Source organism: Homo sapiens, chromosome 6 (genome assembly GCF_000001405.40).
Source record: "Homo sapiens chromosome 6, GRCh38.p14 Primary Assembly".
NCBI classification, from domain to species: domain Eukaryota; kingdom Metazoa; phylum Chordata; class Mammalia; order Primates; family Hominidae; genus Homo; species Homo sapiens.
In genome coordinates, this window is record NC_000006.12 from 69,503,304 (window position 1) to 69,524,412 (window position 21,109).

Genomic DNA, 21,109 nt, shown 5'->3' on the forward strand with positions numbered 1-21,109 from the left:
AACATACCACAACCTATTAAAGGCCACATATAACAAACCCACAGCAAATACCATACTGAATGGAGAGAAATTGAAAGCCTTTCCTTTAAGACCTGGAACAAGACAAGGATGCCCGCTTTTGCTACTTTTATTCAACATAATACTGGAAGTTTTGGTCAGAGCAATTAGGTAAGAAAAAAAAATAAAGGGCATCCAAGTTGGAAAAGAAAAATCAAATTAGCCTTTTTTGTAGACAAAATAATTCCATACTTAGAAAAACCTAAAGACTCCACCAAAAACAAATCATTAAAACTGATAAACAAATTCAGTAAAGTTTCAGGATACAAAATCAACTTACAAAAATCAATAATATTTATGTATGTCAACAGCAAACAATTTAAAAAGAAATCAAGATTGCCAGACACAGTGGCTCATGCCTGTAATCCCAGCACTTTGAGAGGTCAAGACAGGCAGATCATTTGAGATTGAGACCAGCCTGGGCAACACGGTGAAACCACATTCTCTACTGAAAATACAAAAAAAAATAACCAGGTATGGTGGTTCATGCTTGTAATCTCAGCTACTAGGGAGGCTGAGGCAGGACAATCGTTTGAACCTGGGAGATGGAGGTTGCTGTGAGCTAAGATCATGCCATTGCACTCTAACTTGGGCGACAGAGCAAAATTCTGTCTCAAAAAGAAATAAAATCAAGAAAGTAACCTCATAATAGGTACAAAAAATATAAAGTACCTAGGAATCAATTTAACCAAAGAAGAGAATGATCTATACATGAAAATCTATAAAAACACTAATGAAAGAAATTAAGAAGAGCACATGAAAAATGGAAAGATATTTCATGCTTGTGAATTGGAAGAATTAATATTGTTAAAATGACAATACAACCCAAAGCAATTTACAGATTCAATGTAATCTCTAGGAAAATATCAATGACATTCTTCATAGAAATAGGAAAAAAAATTAAAACTTTTATGGAACTGCCAAAGACACCAAATAGCCAAAATAATATGGAACACAACAAAGCTGAAGGAATCACACTACCTTACTTCAAAATATATTATAAGGCTATAGTAATGAAATCAACATGGTGCTGGCATAAAAACAGACACACAGACAAATGGAACAGAAACAGAGTACCCAGTAATAAATCTACATATTTATAGCCAACTCGTTTTTGACAAAGTCCCAAGAACACAGACGAGAAAAAAGACAGTCTCCTCAATAAATGGTGATGAGAAAACTGCATAGCCATATGCATAAAATGAAACTAGACCCTTATCTTTCATTATATAAAAAAATCAAACCAAGATGGTTAAAGACTTACATCTGAGACTTGAACCTATGAAATTATTAGAAGAAAGCATTTTAGGCTTTCCACCCACTTTGGTGAACTTTCACACACATGCCTTGACCTCTCAACATAATATTGACAAAAGATCACCAGAAATGTTACACCAGAGTAGTCTCAGTGTCTTCCACTAATTACTTGGCTTTATATGTATCATGGTATGAACCCTAGAAAAAAAAGATTCCCCCAGATGACCTCTCCCTACATTACGGAAATTTCAGAGTCTTGTGAAACTCTGAAAAACTTTGGGTTCTTTTCCATAAAGGGAGTCTGAGAAAATCTGGGAAAGAATGTGGAACACGGCCCTCAAGGCTTCAAAGTTCTGAGTAGCAGACATGACTTGGGGACACAAATGTTTTTCAAGTCTTCTTCCATTGTAAATATGCTGGTTAATTGTATATGTCAACTTTTTGGGCCACAGTGCTCAGATATTTGGTCAAACAGTATTCTGGATGAGGGTGTTTTTTTAGACAAGATTAACATTTAAATTGTATTTTGAGTAAAGTAAGTTGCCCTCCATAATGTAGTGAGCATTATTCAATTAGTTAAAGGCCTTAATAGACAAGAGTGTCCTTTTCTAACCAAGAAGGAATTGTGCCCCCAGTCAGCCTTCAGACTTGAAATGCAGCTTCCACTTTTCCCTGAATCTCCAGACTGCCACCCTACACCTGAAGATTTTGGACTTGTCAGCCTCCAGTATCACATTAGCCAATTCCCTAAAATAAGTTTCTCTGGATAGATAGATAAGGTAGAGATAAATAGAGATAGAGTTAACGATAGAGACAGACAGATAAATAGATAGATAGATAGATAGATAGATAGATAGATAGATAGATAGACAGATAGATAGATAGATAGGCACATATCCTATTGATTCTATTTTTCTGCAAATCCTTGGCTAATCTACTAAAAAATTCATTATAAATGGAATGAAAGCAATGGAAACAGAATATGTGTGTTTTTTAATAAAAATTTAGGCATTGGAATAATGGACTTTTGGCAAGAGACAAATTGTCTTGTATGAAGTAGAACTAATATATGCTTGACAGGAAGCTTGTTGATATAAATAAGAGAACTCTAAATGAATCAAAGAGGTGAGGGAAGTGTGTGTGTGTGTGTGTGTGTTATATTCCTATTGGTTTTATGTGTGTGCATGTATATTACATATTCCTACTGGTTTTATTAATTAGTACCTGCAGACTGAATTTTCAAATGGTCCTGCTGAGTTTGTCATTTTAGTTCACAATCTGAAAGATATGAGAGGACAGGGTTTTAATCCTACTTCAACTGCTCATTTCACTCAGGTTCCTAATTTCAACTGATGGCTAACTCATTTTCAATCCTCTGTACCCATATTCTTCCTCCTGTGCTGCCATTTCAAGAGCTATCATTTTAATAAATGCATTGTCATCCTCCTATGTTACACTTAACTCCTCAATTTCTCATTTACTGTATCCCATGTTCAGTGGAAGAATTATCATAAAACTAATAATGCTTAACTTTCAGGGCCCCTCACACCCAAGGGTCACTTTCAAAACATTTAGCAGAGCCTTAACAATGATTTTGTGAGATTTGGAAAAATAAAGTATTTTGAAATTCTTTTTTTAAAAAAAGAGTACCAAGAAATCTACTGAGTTTCAGATCTTCATATACATGGTATGCTTCTGCCCCAAATGCAGGCTTTTAATATGTCCATGCATTAACTGACACTGGGTAGGATATTTAATTTATGACCTAGTGAAATTGAGAACTTAGAAATCTTCAATTTCCAAAAGAATGAATCAACATCACAAGATTAATTTATAAGAATCAATGTAAAGCCCTAATATTCATTTAAATTAATCAGTTTGTTGGATACAGACTGGAAAATGAAGGTTTGAGAGCAGCTCAAAAGTCCTAAGATGGTAGCACAATCATACTAGGAGCTAACAGTATGACACAACTGCTATAAACCCAAGGCAAGGGCCCGGTACAGTGGCTGTGCATGTAATCCCAGAGCTTTGGGAGACCCAGGCAGGAGGATCACTTGAGGGCAGTAGTTAAAGGCCAGCCTGGGCAATACAGTGAGATCCCCATCTCTACCGAAAGAAAAAGTGTATTAGTTAGGGTTCTCCAGAGGGACAGAACCAATATATATGAGTCTATTAGGGAGGATTGGCTCACATGATTACAAAGCAAAGTCCCACAATAGGCTGTCTGCATGCTAGGGAAAGAGAAATGCTGGTAGTGTGGCTCAGTCCAAGTCCAAAAGCCTCAAAACTGGGAAAGCCAGCACTGCAGCCTTCAGTTAGGGGCCGACAGCCTGAGAATCCCCAGGAGGCCTTTGGTGCAAGTCCCAGAGTCAAAGGCCAAAGATCCTAGAGTCCGATGACCAAGGACAGGAGAAGAAGCCAAGTGTTTGGCACAGCATGGGTAGAGAGACAACAAGAAGCTTTAGCAAGCTGCTTACCCCAGTTCTTCTGCCTGCTTTGTTCTAGCAGCTCTGGCAGCTGATTAGATTGTGCCCAGCCACACTGAGGGTGAATCTTCCTCTCCCAGTCCACTGACTCAAATGTCAGTCTCCTCTGGCAACATCCTCACAGACACACCCAGAAACAATACTAGCCATCTAGGTATCCCTCAATCCAGTCAAGTTGACGCTTAATATTAACCATCACACCAAGGTAAACTTAGATTACAAACACTATATCCTGATCAAGAAAGATTAAATGTCCCTATTCTTCTTTATGCTTGGCAGATAATAAAATATCAGATTCAATTCTAGTATCTCCAACCTGAGTAGGTGGTTACCACGCAAGGATATCAGGATAATGCGCTAGACAAACTGATAATGCTGAAGAAAGAAAGTCTGTTTAACTTGGATAATACTTGGATAAATGAAGAAGGACACAGGGATTGCATTCAAATTATTGAATAAACATTACATAGACTAGGAAGTAGATGTTTTCTTCACTGCAGAAAACCAAAGTAGAATCAATAAGTAAAACTAAATTAACAAATATGTTCAATAATCAAAATGAGTTGCCTCAATAAATAACTAGTTCCATTTGGCATAAGCAGAAGCTTTAGGGGCTGTAGATTGTATTTTAGTTTCTAGTGTTTTGCTCCTTTCCTGAAAGAAGATTATTTATCCCTACCAAGGGCCATGTGACTTGCAGTATCTCTCTGTGGGTGTGTACTTCCTTGACCCATATGGGGTTTGTCCATGTGAAGTGCTTTGATCAATGATTGTCAGGGCCTGTTTACATGCCAGTTTTTCTGAAACTTTAATGTGTTTACAAATTACCTGAAGATCCTGCTAAAATGAAATTCATATTCAGTAGGTCTAGATTGGGGCCTGAGATGCATTGCAGTATATCTAACAAGCTACCAAATAATGTTGAAGCTGCTAGCTATCGGGACAACTTTGAGTAGCAAGGATTCATACTACAATTAAGGTTTAAGAGGCATCATGACTTTCACATATCTCTCTTGCTTTTTCCCCCTGCCACAAAACCAACAAGTCCTAAATCTATGCTACTTCTTCACCTGGGTCCTAGAATAAGATATGTGGAGCAGGGCCACAGCTATCAATATTAAAATAAACAGGAAATATATGTTTGGGGATTATTTGTTACTTCAGCAAGGCTGACTAATACAAGATCCATCTCTGAGCAGTCTCATAGAAGGCATTCCTGAAATGAGAATGCATGTGGACTTAATTCCATGTGTCTTTAGAAATCTAGAATCTACATTTGTGAATTCTGGCTCATACTACAGGTAAAGATAGTTACACTTCTGCAAACCGTTCATAGATTACAGTTTGAACAGGTTTATGTGCACCAACCATCAGAACCTTAATAAAATATTGGGGCTGACATTTTTCACTCCCATATATCCCATAGCTGATATATTTGAACATTTGAAGGCCTCTTAGCACTTCAAACAGAAAATGCACTTGGGTGAATAGTAATCATGAAGCCTAATTTTCCAACACCATGGAAAGTGCCTTAGGGAAAGGAGGCTGGTGTTTAGTTAGGGGGAAATGCCCCCTCACACTTTTAAATAACATTTTCAGCCAGTTACTAAAGGTTTAGGGTGAGAGACATTCAGGATGTAGCCCTGGGAGAGGGAGGATAAAAATAAGGACTTCAGATGAGATAAGTCATGTTCAGAGTGGTAAAGGAGTAGATTTTAGGTACTCTTGCCACACACAATAAAAGGGTAACTATATGAGATGATGGATATGTTAATTTGCTTAACTATCTATAATGACCATTTCACTATGTGTATATCAAAACATCATGTGGTACACTTTAGACATATACAATAAAAAGTCTTCAGAAGACTTCAGGTCAAAAGTAAGAAGCTCTCCATCCTGTGGCAAAAATCGTGAAATGTTTAGTGTCACATGAGTCTAGGTCTTAGATAAGCAACATAGGTATGAAGTTGAGATGGTAACTGTGGGACTTTACCAGTCTCAAGAGGTTTAGGAATGATTGTCTTAAATACATAGAAAAATTGCCTGAACAAGAGGAAAGCACACCTTCCTCAAGGAAGCCTGAAAGGAAAACTCCCCACATTCAGCTATTCTAAGCTAGCTGACAGACACCCTCATGAGATTACGATTTTGGCAGGATAAAGGAAGAGTTGTTGCCAACGTCATAGCCAAACCATTTAATTAATGTTGTTTTATCTTAATTAAACTTATTATTATAACCATTCACTAAGTGTAGCTTTCCTGTCTTTCCAATATTCTCAGGAGTACTAGAAGAACAAATATGCCAGCCCAGCAATATTCCATGAAATTGATTACCAAGGGAAATCTGTTAAATTGTACTCTAACACAGACGCTTTTCTTGGATTTACTCTTTGAATTTTAGGGTTTGTTTTAAAATTGGTTGGAGCAGTAGTAACACATATTTAGGAAAACAAACCCCGAATGAAGCCCCTACATGAAAACCTATTGATTTAATATTTAATGCATTAATAATCAACTCATCTGGCTCATCAACTTTAGAGGGTGATCATCAGTTATCAGTCTCATGAAATCTTCCATTGCCAACCAAAAATGTTTTATTAATATTTTCCTTTTTCTATGTTGCAAACCCTATAATTTTTAAACAGACTTCTTATATATATCCCTGAGTTGCAATATTGCTGAATGATTATTGACTGTATATCATAAAACCTGAAAAAAATCACCATTTTCTTCTGAAATGTGATGATCTGCATTTTAAAATGTTCTAAGAAACCATATTTTTCAAGTTTATGCAAATTGGTAAACTTCATTATTAAGAATGGCTTTTACTTTACTGTGAACATAACCGTGCACATGCTCTTAATGAGCCATACATTTACATTGGTAGCTGTATTACCCGCTTCATCATCATAAATGAACTTCATATTTCTAGAGCATTTTCCCCCAAAGCTAAAGATATTTTATATGTGTCGTGTTATAAACTAAGAATGCCTAAAAGTTACTTAGCAACAACCATCATCATTGAACTACGCTCAAGTAAATCAAAGCTAGGGGTAATAAGAAAATTATGGTTAAACTTGGTGAATATCCTTACTTATGATAAAGTAAATGCTTTATAAAGTTTAACATCATAGTTCTAGAGTTCATTCATCTTTGTGTTTCTTTGCTTGTTTTTTATTTGAATTTTTTGATTCGTTTACTTAATTAGCACTTAGAGACTTAGTTGTGTAGTAGCCTAGCAAGAGAACAGGAAAAAGAACCTTGAGTTTTCTGTGCATCCTAGGTAATGACTCACCATTTGACTTTGAGCTAAGGTTCCAACCAGCACAACCCTCTACTTGGTCAAGATTACTCCTCCAGAAGAAAAATAATATTTATTTACTTATCTAGAGAGCAACAATTTTTAATTAATGTTTTTAAAGAGCTTTTGACCTCCTTAAACATGTACTAGCCTTTGTGTAATGATCTCTATTTTTGGTTTGGTCATTATTTTTTGAATCACATTTAAAATGACTTCCAAAAAAGATATTGGAATAAAATGTTAGGTAAATTAAAATTAAAAGAAGACTACTCATTTTTAATGTTAGACTATGTTACATTGCACATAAGGGAGAGATGCTCTGTGACCTTCAATGAAGACATAATAGAAACCTAAGAATTCCACCCATTTGAAAAGAGAATATGGCTATCACCTTGGCATTTCTGTAGAGCATTGCTCTCTGTGACAAGAATTTTATCATTACCAAATCAACAACAGAAACAACTGAGTCCCAAGGTATTTTTAAATGCACACAGCTACTACCAATTAGCTAAAATCTGTCATGAAGTTTAGTCTTAACTATTGCTGCTTCCCTGTGAGAATTTAAGAATTGAAACAAATTCCTTATCCTACAAATTCATGATGTGAGCATTGGTTTTGGACCTCATGTCCCAAAATGTAAACCCATCATTTTAAAAGACTGGTTTCCCTAAAATTATGCCTTCCTCATTTTTTCCATTTCAAAGGCAATATCTACCTCAAAAAATTTTATCTCTAAACCTCATGTAATTACTACTTCATGTTTTATTGTCTTAAATAGCTTGTCTTTTATATCTTTCTAAATGTTATGAAACACAAGCACAAACTGAAATTACAAATAAAACATGCAGCTTTAATTTTAAATATATGTATTTATATAAGTAATATTAAAGGCAGCATAGCCTCAGCTACTCCACCAGAGTGCTTTTGCCAGTGGCTACCACCATAGCACTTTCTCCAGAGACTTCCACCCACTCCCACCAGAGTGTGTTTGCCTGCGACTCTGCAACCTCCCTACCACCGTGCTTGTCATCTGCAAGGCCCCTGTTGCCCCTGCCAGAGCAATTTTTTCACACAGTGCCTCTGCCACCCCTGATAGACCACTGTTGCCAGTGGTCTGGCAGGACCTTGGCCCCTCCATCCCAGCTGGGGCTAAACCTCGAGAGACAAGAACACAAAGCCATGGGCCTGGTCCCAGCCACCCAGGGTTAGAGCATACAGCCTAGGAGTGCAGAGCTAAGCCTTGGCCCTCTGAAAGCATCCAGAAACAAAAGTATTCAACTATACCCAACTTGTACCACAGTCAAATATTTAAGGGGAATAAAGAACATAAAAACAAAAAGCCCTATCCAAAGAACAGTAACTTCAAAGGATAAAGGAACATCAACCCACACAAATGAGAAAGAACCAGTGCAAGAACTCTGACAACTCTAAAATCCAAAGTGTCTTCTTACCTTCAAATGATCACACTAGCTCCCCAGCAATTGTTCTTAACCAGATTGAAATGTCTGAAAATTCAGACATATAATGCAGAATCTGGATGGCCAGGTAGTTCATCAAGATATAAGAGAAAGTTAAAACCCAATCTGAGGAAAACAGTAAAATGACCCAAAAGTTGAAAGATGACATAACCTTTTGAAGAAAGAACAAAACTGAGTTCTGGAAATGAAAAATTTACTCCAGAAATTTTTAAATATAATTGGAAGAATTAACAGCATAATAGACCAAGCTGATGAAAGAATCTCAGAAGCTGAAGTCCACTCCTTTGAAGCAACACAAGCAGAAAAAAAAAGTACAATTTTAAAAAACGAATAAAACCTATGAGAAAAATGGGACTGTGTAAAGAGGTAAAAAGACCAAATCTATGACCCATCAGCATTCCTGAAAGACAATGAGAGAGAACAAACAACTTGGAAAACATATCTGAGAATACAGTTCACAAAAATTTTCTCAATTTCACTAGAGAAAACTTGCTGATATGGATTGGCTCTGTGTCCCCACCCAAATCTCATCTTATAGTTCCCATAATTTCCTTGTGTTGTGGGAGGGAGCCAGTGAGAGATGATTGAATCATGGGGGCCGTGCTGTTCTCGTGATAGTGAATGGGTCTCATGAGATCTGATGGTTTCAAAGAATGGGAGTTTCTCTGCACAAGCTCTCTTTGCGTGCTGCCATTTCACATAAGATATGACTTGCTCCTCCTCGCCTTTAATCATGGTTATGAGGCCCCCCCCAGCCATGTGGATCTGTAAGTCCAATCAAACCTCTTTCTGCATGAAAATGGACTAATACACATGCAAATGCAGGAAATGTGTGTGTGTATATATATATATATATATATGCACACACATACACACACCGGGGGTCTATTGGGGTCTCTCTCTCTCTCTCTCTCTCTCTTTCTCTCTCTCTCTATATATATATATATATAAAATATGTATATAATATACACTATATATAATATGTATATAATATACACTATATATATTATATGTATATAATATACACTATATATATTATATGTATATAATATATATACATATATCTCTCTATTTATATATGTATACACAATCCAGAAACAAAAGTATTCAACTACACCCAACTTGTACCACAGTCAAACACTCGAGGGCAATAAAGAACGTAAAAACAAAAAGTCCTATCCAAAGGACAGTAACTTCAAAGAATAAAGGAACATCAGCCCTCAAAAATGAGATAGAACTAGTCCAAGAACTCTGACAACTCTAAAAATCAAAGTGTCCTCTTACCTTCAAGTGATCACACTAGCTCCTCAGCAATGGTTCTTAACCAGATTGAAATGGCTGAAATACACACACATACCCCCAATGTTGGAGCACCCAGATTCATAAAACAAATTCTTACAGATCTACAAGGACATTAGACAATCACAAAATAACAATGGGGGACTTCAACATCCCACTGACAGCATTAGACAGATTATTGAGGCAGAAAACTAACCAAAAATATCTAGGACTTAAACTGTACAATTGATGAATCAGACTTGAAAGACATCTACAGAACACTCCATCCAAACACAACAGAATATGCATTCTTATCTGCACATGCACGCACTCTAAGATTAACCACATGCTCAGCCATAAAGCAAGTCTCAACAAATTCAAAAATATTAAAATCATACCAATCACACTCTTTGACCACAGAACAATAAAATAGAAATCAATACCAAGAAGATCTGTCAAAACCATACAATTACATGGAAGTTAAACAACTTGGTCCTGAATGACTTTTGGGTAAAGAATAAAATTAAGGCACAAATCAAAAAAATTATTTGAACCTAATGAAAACGGAGACATAACATACCAGAATCCTTGAGACACAGCAAAAGCAGTATTAAGAGGAAAGTTTATAGCACTAAATATCTACCTCAAGAAGTTAGAAAAATCCTAAATTAACAACCTAATGTTATGCCTAGAGGAACTAGAAAAACAAGAGCAAACCAACCACAAAGATAGTAGACAAAAAGAAATAATCAAAATTAGAGCTGAACCAAATGAAACTGAGATACAAAAATGCATACAAAAAAATCCGCAAAACCAAAAGTTGTTTTTTGAAAGATTAAACTAGGTATATAGACTGCTAGCTAGATTAGTAAAGAAAAAAGAGAGAAGATCCAAATAAACACAATCAGAAATGACAAAGGGGTCAATGCAATCAACCCCACAGAAATACAAAAAAAAAACAAAAAAACAAAAAATAACAACAACCTTAGAGACTAATATGAAATACAAACTATAAAACCTAGAAGAAAAGGGTAAATGCCTGGAAACACACAGCCTCCCAAGATTGAACCAGGAAGAAAATGAAATCCTGAACAGACCAATAATGAGCTATAAAATTAATCAGTTACAAAAGGCCTACCAAAAAAAAAAAAAAGTCCTGGACCAGATGGGTTCACAGACAAATTCTACCAGGTGTAAAAAAAAAAAAAAAAAAAGAGCTAGTACCAATCTTACTGAAATTATTCCAAAAAAAGTCAAGGAGGTGGGACTCCTCAGCTCATTCTATGAAAATAGCAACATTCTGATACCAAAACCTGTCAGAGACACAGTGGAAAAAAACAAAACTGTTGGTCACTATTCCAGATAAATATAGATGCAAAATTTCTAAACAAAACAATAGCAAACTGAATCCAGCAGCACAAAAAAAAACGTTAATTCACCATGACCAAGTAGGCTTTTGGTTCAACATATACAAATCAATAAATGTGATTCACCACACAAACAGAATTAAAATTTAAAAAACCACATAATTATCTCAAGACATGTAGAAATGGCTTTTGGTAAAATTCAATGTCCCTTCATGGTAAAAACTCTCAACAAATCAGGCATTGAAGGAACATACCTCAAAATAGTTAGAGCCATATATAACAAAGCCACAGCCAACACTGCACTGAACAGGCAAAAGCTGGAAGCATTTCCCTTGAGAACTGGAATAAGACAAGTATGTCCATTCTCATTACTCCTGTTCAACATAGTACTGGAATTCCCTGCTAGAGCACTCAAGTGAGAGAAAGAAATAAAAACTATCTAAATAGGAAGGGAGGCTGTCAAACTATCTCTGTTTGCAGACAGTATGATTTCTACGCCTAGAAAAACCCCATAGACTCCACCGGAAGACATCTAGATCTGATAAATGACAAAAATCTATAAACCTGAACCTTGTAAAGTTTCAGGATACAAAATCAATGTACAAAAATCAGTAGCGAAGATGGCCAAATAGGAACAGCTCCGGTCTACAGCTCCCAGCGTGAGCGACGCAGAAGACGGGTGATTTCTGCATTTCCATCTGAGGTACCGGGTTCATCTCACTAGGGAGTGCCAGACAGTGGGCGCAGGCCAGTGGGTGCGCACACTGTGGGCGAGCCAAAGCAGGGCGAGGCATTGCCTCACCTGAGAAGTGCAAGGGGTCAGGGAGTTCCCTTTCCGAGTCAAAGAAAGGGGTAATGGACGCACCTGGAAAATCGGGTCACTCCCACCCGAATATTGTGCTTTTCAGACCGGCTTAAAAAACGGCGCACCACGAGACTATATCCCACACCTGGCTCAGAGGGTCCTACGCCCATGGAATCTCGCTGATTGCTAGCACAGCAGTCTGAGATCAAACTGCAAGGCGGCAGCGAGGCTGGGGGAGGGGCGCCCGCCATTGCCCAGGCTTGCTTAGGTAAACAAAGCAGCCCAGAAGTTCCAACTGGGTGGAGCCCACCACAGCTCAAGGAGGCCTGCCTGCCTCTGTAGGCTCCACCTCTGGGGGCAGGGCACAGAAAAACAAAAAGACACCAGTAACCTCGGCAGACTTAAGTGTCCCTGTCTGACAGCTTGGAAGAGAGCAGTGGTTCTCCCAGCACGCAGCTGGAGATCTGAGAACTGGCAGACTGCCTCCTCAAGTGGGTCCCTGACCCCTGACCCCCGAGCAGCCTAACTGGGAGGCACCCCCCAGCAGGGGCACACTGACACCTCACACGGCAGGGTATTCCAACAGACCTGCAGCTGAGGGTCCTGTCTGTTAGAAGGAAAACTAACAAACAGAAAGGACATCCACACCGAAAACCCAACTGTACATCACCATCATCAAAGACCAAACGTAGATAAAACCACAAAGATGGGGAAAAAACAGAACAGAAAAACTGGAAACTCTAAAACGCAGAGCGCCTCTCCTCCTCCAAAGGAACGCAGTTCCTCACCAGCAACGGAACAAAGCTGGATGGAGAATGACTTTGACGAGCTGAGAGAAGAAGGCTTCAGACGATCAAATTACTCTGAGCTACGGGAGGACATTCAAACCAAAGGCAAAGAAGTTGAAAACTTTGAAAAAAATTTAGAAGAATGTATAACTAGAATAACCAATACAGAGAAGTGCTTAAAGGAGCTGATGGAGCTGAAAACCAAGGCTCGAGAACTATGTGAAGAATGCAGAAGCCTCAGGAGCCGATGCGATCAACTGGAAGAAAGGGCATCAGCAATGGAAGATGAAATGAATGAAATGAAGCGAGAAGGGAAGTTTAGAGAAAAAAGAATAAAAAGAAATGAGCAAAGCCTCCAAGAAATATGGGACTATGTGAAAAGACCAAATCTACGTCTGATAGGTGTACCTGAAAGTGATGTGGAGAATGGAACCAAGTTGGAAAAGACTCTGCAGGATATTATCCAGGAGAACTTCCCCAATCTAGCAAGGAAGGCCAACGTTCAGATTCAGGAAATACAGAGAACGCCACAAAGATACTCCTCGAGAAGAGCAACTCCAAGACACATAATTGTCAGATTCACCAAAGTTGAAATGAAGGAAAAAATGTTAAGGGCAGCCAGAGAGAAAGGTGGGGTTACCCTCAAAGGGAAGCCCATCAGACTAACAGCGAATCTCTCAGCAGAAACCCTACAAGCCAGAAGAGAGTGGGGGCCAATATTCAACATTCTTAAAGAAAAGAATTTTCAACCCAGAATTTCATATCCAGCCAAACTAAGCTTCATAAGTGAAGGAGAAATAAAATACTTTATAGACAAGCAAATGCTGAGAGATTTTGTCACCACCAGGCCTGCCCTAAAAGAGCTCCTGAAGGAAGCGCTAAACATGGAAAGGAACAACCAGTACCAGCCGCTGCAAAATCATGCCAAAATGTAAAGACCATCGAGACTAGGAAGAAACTGTATCAACTAACGAGCAAAATCACCAGCTAACATCATAATGACAGGATCAAATTCACACATAACAATATTAACTTTAAATATAAATGGACTAAATTCTCCAATTAAAAGACACAGACTGGCAAGTTGGATAAAGAGTCAAGACCCATCAGTGTGCTGCATTCAGGAAACCCATCTCATGTGCAGAGTCACACATAGGCTCAAAATAAAAGGATGGAGGAAGATCTGCCAAGCCAATGGAAAACAAAAAAAGGCAGGGGTTGCAATCCTAGTCTCTGATAAAACAGACTTTAAACCAACAAGGATCAAAAGAGACAAAGAAGGCCATTACATAATGGTAAAGGGATCAATTCAACAAGAGGAGCTAACTACCCTAAATATTTGTGCACCCAATACAGGAGCACCCAGATTCATAAAGCAAGTCCTGAGTGACCTACAAAGAGACTTAGACTCCCACACATTAATAATGGGAGACTTTAACACCCCACTGTCAACATTAGACAGATCAACGAGACAGAAAGTCAACAACGATACCCAGGAATTGAACTCAGCTCTGCACCAAGCGGACCTAATAGACATCTACAGAACTCTCCACCCCAAATCAACAGAATATACATTTTTTTCAGCACCGCACCACACCTATTCCAAAATTGACCACATAGTTGGAAGTAAAGCTCTCCTCAGCAAATGTAAAAGAACAGAAATTATAACAAACTATCTCTCAGACCACAGTGCAATCAAACTAGAACTCAGGATTAAGAATCTCACTCAAAGCCGCTCAACTACATGGAAACTGAACAACCTGCTCCTGAATGACTACTGGGTAAATAACAAAATGAAGGCAGAAATAAAGATGTTCTTTGAAACCAATGAGAACAAAGACACAACATACCAGAATCTCTGGGACGCATTCAAAGCAGTGTGTAGAGGGAAATTTATAGCACTAAATGCCTACCAGAGAAAGCAGGAAAGATCCAAAATTGATACCCTAACATCACAATTAAAAGAACTAGAAAAGCAAGTGCAAACACATTCAAAAGCTAGCAGAAGGCAAGAAATAACTAAAATCAGAGCAGAACTGAAGGAAATAGAGACACATAAAACCCTTCAAAAAATCAATGAATCCAGGAGCTGGTTTTTTGAAAGGATCAACAAAATTGATAGACCGCTAGCAAGACTAATAAAGAAAAAAAGAGAGAAGAATCAAATAGACAAAATAAAAAATGATAAAGTGGATATCACCACCGATCCCACAGAAATACAAACTACCATCAGAGAATACTACAAACACCTCTACGCAAATAAACTAGAAAATCTAGAAGAAATGGATACATTCCTCGACACATACACTCTCCCAAGACTAAACCAGGAAGAAGTTGAATCTCTGAATAGAGCAATAACAGGAGCTGAAATTGTGGCAATAATCAATAGCTTACCAACCAAAAAGAGTCCAGGACCAGATGGATTCACAGCCGAATTCTACCAGAGGTACAAGGAGGAATTGGTACCATTCCTTCTGAAACTATTCCAATCAATAGAAAAAGAGGGAATCCTCCCTAACTCATTTTATGAGGCCAGCATCATTCTGATACCAAAGCCGGGCAGAGACACAACCAAAAAAGAGCATTTTAAACCAATATCCTTGATGAACATTGATGCAAAAATCCTCAATAAAATACTGGCAAAATGAATCCAGCAGCACATCAAAAAGCTTATCCACCATGATCAAGTGGGCTTCATCCCTGGGATGCAAGGCTGGTTCAATATACGCAAATCAATAAATGTAATCCAGCATATAAACAGAGCCAAAGACAAAAACCACATGATTATCTCAATAGATGCAGAAAAAGCCTTTGACAAAATTCAACAACCCTTCATGCTAAAAACTCTCAATAAATTAGGTATTGATGGGACGTATTTCAAAATAATAAGAGCTATCTATGACAAACCCACAGCCAATATCATCCTGAATGGGCAAAAACTGGAAGCATTCCCTTTGAAAACTGGCACAAGACAGGGATGCCCTCTCTCACCGCTCCTATTCAACATAGTGTTGGAAGTTCTGGCCAGGGCAATCAGGCAGGAGAAGGAAATAAAGGGTATTCGATTAGGAAAAGAGGAAGTCAAATTGTCCCTGTTTGCAGACGACATGATTGTTTATCTAGAAAACCCCATCATCTCAGCCCAAAATCTCCTTAAGCTGATAAGCAACTTCAGCAAAGTCTCAGGATACAAAATCAATGTACAAAAATCACAAGCATTCTTATACACCAACAACAGACAAACAGAGAGCCAAATCATGAGTGAACTCCCATTCACAATTGCTTCAAAGAGAATAAAATACCTAGGAATCCAACTTACAAGGGATGTGAAGGACCTCTTCAAGGAGAACTACAAAACACTGCTCAAGGAAATAAAAGAGGACACAAATAAATGGAAGAACATTCCAGGCTCATGGGTAGGAAGAATCAATATCGTGAAAATGGCCATACTGCCCAAGGTAATTTACAGATTCAATGCCATCCCCATCAAGGTACCAATGACTTTCTTCACAGAATTGGAAAAAACTACTTTAAAGTTCATATGGAACCAAAAAAGAGCCCGCATCGCCAAGTCAATCCTAAGCCAAAAGAACAAAGCTGGAGGCATCACGCTACCTGACTTCAAACTATACTACAAGGCTACAGTAACCAAAACAGCATGGTACTGGTACCAAAACAGAGATATAGATCAATGGAACAGAACAGAGCCCTCAGAAATAACGCCGCATACCTACAACTATCTGATCTTTGACAAACCTGAGAAAAACAAGCAATGGGGAAAGGATTCCCTATTTAATAAATGGTGCTGGGAAAACTGGCTAGCCATATGTAGAAAGCTGAAACTGGATCCCTTCCTTACACCTTATACAAAAATCAATTCAAGATGGATTAAAGATTTAAACGTTAGACCTAAAACCATAAAAACCCTAGCAGAAAACCTAGGCATTACCATTCAGGACATAGGCGTTGGCAAGGACTTCATGTCCAAAACACCAAAAGCAATGGCAACAAAAGCCAAAATTGACAAATGGGATCTAATTAAACTCAGGAGCTTCTGCACAGCAAAAGAAACTACCATCAGAGTGAACAGGCAACCTACAACATGGGAGAAAATTTTCGCAACCTACTCATCTGACAAAGGGCTAATATCCAGAATCTACAATGAACTCAAATAAATTTACAAGAAAAAAACAAACAACCCCATCAAAAAGTGGGCGAAGGACATGAACAGACACTTCTCAAAAGAAGACATTTATGCAGCCAAAAAACACATGAAAAAATGCTCATCATCACTGGCCATCAGAGAAATGCAAATCAAAACCACTATGAGATATCATCTCACACCAGTTAGAATGGCAATCATTAAAAAGTCAGGAAACAACAGGTGCTGGAGAGGATGTGGAGAAATAGGAACACTTTTACACTGTTGGTGGGACTGTAAACTAGTTCAACCATTGTGGAAGTCAGTGTGGCGATTCCTCAGGGATCTAGAACTAGAAATACCATTTGACCCAGCCATCCCATTACTGGGTATATACCCAAATGACTCTAAATCATGCTGCTATAAAGACACATGCACACGTATGTTTATTGCGGCATTATTCACAATAGCAAAGACTTGGAACCAACCCAAATGTCCAACAATGATAGACTGGATTAAGAAAATGTGGCACATATACACCATGGAATACTAGGCAGCCATAAAAAATGATGAGTTCATGTCCTTTGTAGGGACATGGATGAAGCTGGAAACCATCATTCTCAGCAAACTATGGCAAGGACAAAAAACCAAACACCGCATGTTCTCACTCATAGGTGGGAATTGAACAATGAGATCACATGGACACAGGAAGGGGAATATCACACTCTGGGGACTGTGGTGGGGTGGGGGGAGTGGGGAGGGATAGCATTGGGAGATATACCTAATGCTAGATGACGAGTTAGTGGGTGCAGCGCACCAGCATGGCACATGTATACATATGTAACTAACCTGCACAATGTGCACATGTACCCTAAAACTTAAAGTATAATTTAAAAAAAAAAGTCAGCTTAATCAGCTCTTTACAATGTTTATATAATTTAAAGGGAACTCAAAGAACATCTCACTCAACATCTTACTTTACAGAATAAGAATTGAGCCTCAAATATAGTCAATATTTTCCCCAATGTCACAGAATCAGGGTTTCTGAACCCACTAAAGCAAGTTGGCTTTCCTAGCATGTCCGAGAAGTCAAGAGAAGAAAATCTGTAGTCTTAGCTATGAAGCGCTGTGAGCAAGAATCACCGGAGTGCTACTTTTAAAAAACATAACCTGTTCCACCAATGTGATTACAGATGGTCTGAGAACATCTCAGATTTACCCAGATTCAAGGCAGTAGACCTTCCAAAACAGGCAAAGCCTTCTAAATCAATTCAGGGAATAAAGCCAGACATGCATACTCCCTAAGAAAAAATACTTACATACAAGCATCTTTTCTAACTAAAAAGAATATTCATCAATTGATTTGAATATGAAAATAGGTTTTTAATAAAAATTTACTCTAAGAATAAGGCAAAAAAAAAAATCAGTAGCATTTCTATACACCAATAACAACCAAGTCAAGAGCCAAATCAAGAATAAAATGCCTAGGAATACATTTTACCAAGGAGGTGAAAAATCTCTACAACAAGAATTACAAAACATTGCTGAAAGAAATCAGAGACAATACAAACAAACGGAAAAACATCCCATGTTCATGGATAGGAAGAGTCAATATTGTTAAAATGGCCACTCTGTTCAAACCAATTTATAGATTCAATGCTATTCCTATCAAACTACCAATGTCACTTTTCACAGAAGTAGAAAAAAACTATTCTAAAATTCATATGGAACCAAAAAGGAGCCCAAATCACCCAAACAATCCTAAGCAAAAAGTACAAAGCCAGAGATATCTCACTACTGAACTTCAAAGTATACTACAAGACAACAGTAACCAAAACAGGCTACAGGTATGACAACAGACACATAGAGCAATGGAACAGAATTAGGAACCCAGAAATTAAGCCACTTACCTACAACTACCTGATCTTCAACAAAATTGATAATAACAAACAATGAGAGAAATAATTCACTAGTCAGTAAACAGTGAATTTATTGAAATGTTATATCAACAGGCTAGCATATGCAGATTGGAACAGTTCCCTTTCCTTTTATCATATACAAAAATTAGCTTAAAGACCTAAAACAACAAAAAACCCTAGAAGAAAATGTAAGAAATACCATCATAGACATCATCCTTGGCAAATAATTTATGACTAAGTCTCCAAAAGTGGTTGCAACAAAACAATAATTGACAAGCGAAACCTAATCCAACTAGTTTCTGCACAGAAAAATAAACTATCGGCACATTAAACAGACAACCTACAGAGTGGGTGAAAATGTCCACAAACTATGTAACCAACAAATGTCTAATATCTGGAACCTATAAGAAACTTAATTCAACAAACAAAAAACCAACAACCCCATTAAAAAATGGGCAAAGGACATGAACAGACACTTCTAAAAAGAAGACATACATGCAGCAAACAAATATATGAAAAAATGCTCATCATTACTAATCATTAGAGAAATGCAGATCAAAACCACAAGATACCACCTCACATCAGTCAGAATAGCAATTATTAAAAGTCAAAAAGCAACAGATGCTGGTGAAGTTGTGGAGAAAAGTGTACACTTATACACTGTTGGTGAGAATGTAAATTAGTTCAGCCACTGTAGAAAGCAGTTTAGAGATTTCTCAAAGAACTTAAAACTACCATTCAGCCCAGCCATCCTACTACTGGGTATATACCCAAAAGAGAATAAATTGTTCTATCAAAAAGACACACACATTCGTATGTTCATCACAGCACTATTTACAATAGCAAAGATTTGAAATCAACCTGGCTTCCTATCAATAGTGGACTGGATAAAGAAAAAGTGGTACACATACACTATAAAATACTCCACAGCCATAAATAAGAACAAAATCATGTTCTTTTCAGCAACATGAACGTATCTGGAAGCCATAATTCTAAGCAAACACAGAAACAGAAAACCAAGTACTGCATGTTCTCACTTATAAGTGGGAGTTAAACATTGAATACACATGGACACAAAGATGAGAACAATAGACACTGGGAATTACTTAAGAGGGGAGGTTATAAGGGGGACATGGTTTGGAAGGCTATTGACTACTATGCTCACTACCTGGGTAATAGGATCATTTATACACCAAGCCTCAGAGACATGCACTTTATCCATGTAACAAACCTATACATGTACCACTGCAATGCAAAATAAAAATAGAAGAAGAAAAAAATAGTAAAAATCATTTGGAGAAAAAATATTAATAATACTAAAAATTAATTAGAAAATAATTCTATTGCTTAAGTCAACTAGACAATACCTGCAATTTACTAGTCTTAATCTGCAAATTATACATGCCCATGGTTTTTATTATACTGTTTTCAAATGATGTTTAATTATGAAATACATTAAATATACGTAAAAATAAAGAGAAAAATAACAGGAGATATGTATGTACTCACTTCCCAAAGCCAGAAAATATTAATATTCTATCATAATTTCCCAGTCAGATTTTCTCCCTGCCTTCTGAGAAGTTGCCACCACTGTGAAGTTGTTATACAGCCTTACCATCTATATACTTACGTTTGCATAAACAATAGAAAGCAGATGATGGCAAATTATAACCTGTGTGCCAAATCCAGCCATGGCCTGTTTCATATGGCCCATAAGTCAGCATAGATTTATATTTTTAAAATCTTGAAACAAAGAATAATCTATGTGGGCTGCAAAGCCCAAAACATTATCAGGCCCTCTATGGGATACTTTATTGATCCCTGATACTGAGTGTTATTTTATCTGTTATCAAAATTTATATAAATGGTCTCATAATAAAAAAGCCTTACGTAACTTTCCATTTTTCACTCAACATTGTTTTTGAGAATTATCAATGTTGATACCTGTAGGTCTAATTCATTTTTACAAACTGCTGCATAGTTAAAATACCAATGGAATAGTCACAATTTATTGTATAATGTGCCTATCAATAGACATTTAGGTTGTGTACAATATTTGTCCATTAAAAATAAATCTGTGATAAATATCCTCATACACATCTCCTTGTGCTCATGTGCCAGATTTCTTCCCTTGTATGTACCTAGAAGTAGCATTGCTAGCTATAAAATATACACATCTTCAGCTTTGCTCAAGGTTGTCAAATTGCTATTCAAGATAGCTTTGTT

The 21,109-nt window shown here is 37.5% G+C and overlaps 4 annotated features.

Annotated features, from left to right (window-relative positions):
* Positions 11,552 to 12,288: an enhancer, noted in NCBI's record as "NANOG-H3K27ac-H3K4me1 hESC enhancer chr6:70224747-70225483 (GRCh37/hg19 assembly coordinates)". NCBI's record gives its function as "activates a minimal SCP1, AML or CMV promoter by ChIP-STARR-seq in naive and primed H9 embryonic stem cells {active_cell/tissue: H9 hESC(naive and primed)}" and the evidence as "EXISTENCE:reporter gene assay evidence [ECO:0000049][PMID:30033119]".
* Positions 11,552 to 13,024: a biological region, named in NCBI's record as "Sharpr-MPRA regulatory region 1352".
* Positions 12,214 to 12,508: an enhancer, noted in NCBI's record as "tiled region #1352; HepG2 Activating non-DNase unmatched - State 24:Quies, and K562 Activating non-DNase unmatched - State 24:Quies". NCBI's record gives its function as "activates a minimal TATA promoter and a strong SV40 promoter by Sharpr-MPRA in HepG2 and K562 cells {active_cell/tissue: HepG2 | K562}" and the evidence as "EXISTENCE:reporter gene assay evidence [ECO:0000049][PMID:27701403]".
* Positions 12,289 to 13,024: an enhancer, noted in NCBI's record as "NANOG-H3K27ac-H3K4me1 hESC enhancer chr6:70225484-70226219 (GRCh37/hg19 assembly coordinates)". NCBI's record gives its function as "activates a minimal SCP1, AML or CMV promoter by ChIP-STARR-seq in naive and primed H9 embryonic stem cells {active_cell/tissue: H9 hESC(naive and primed)}" and the evidence as "EXISTENCE:reporter gene assay evidence [ECO:0000049][PMID:30033119]".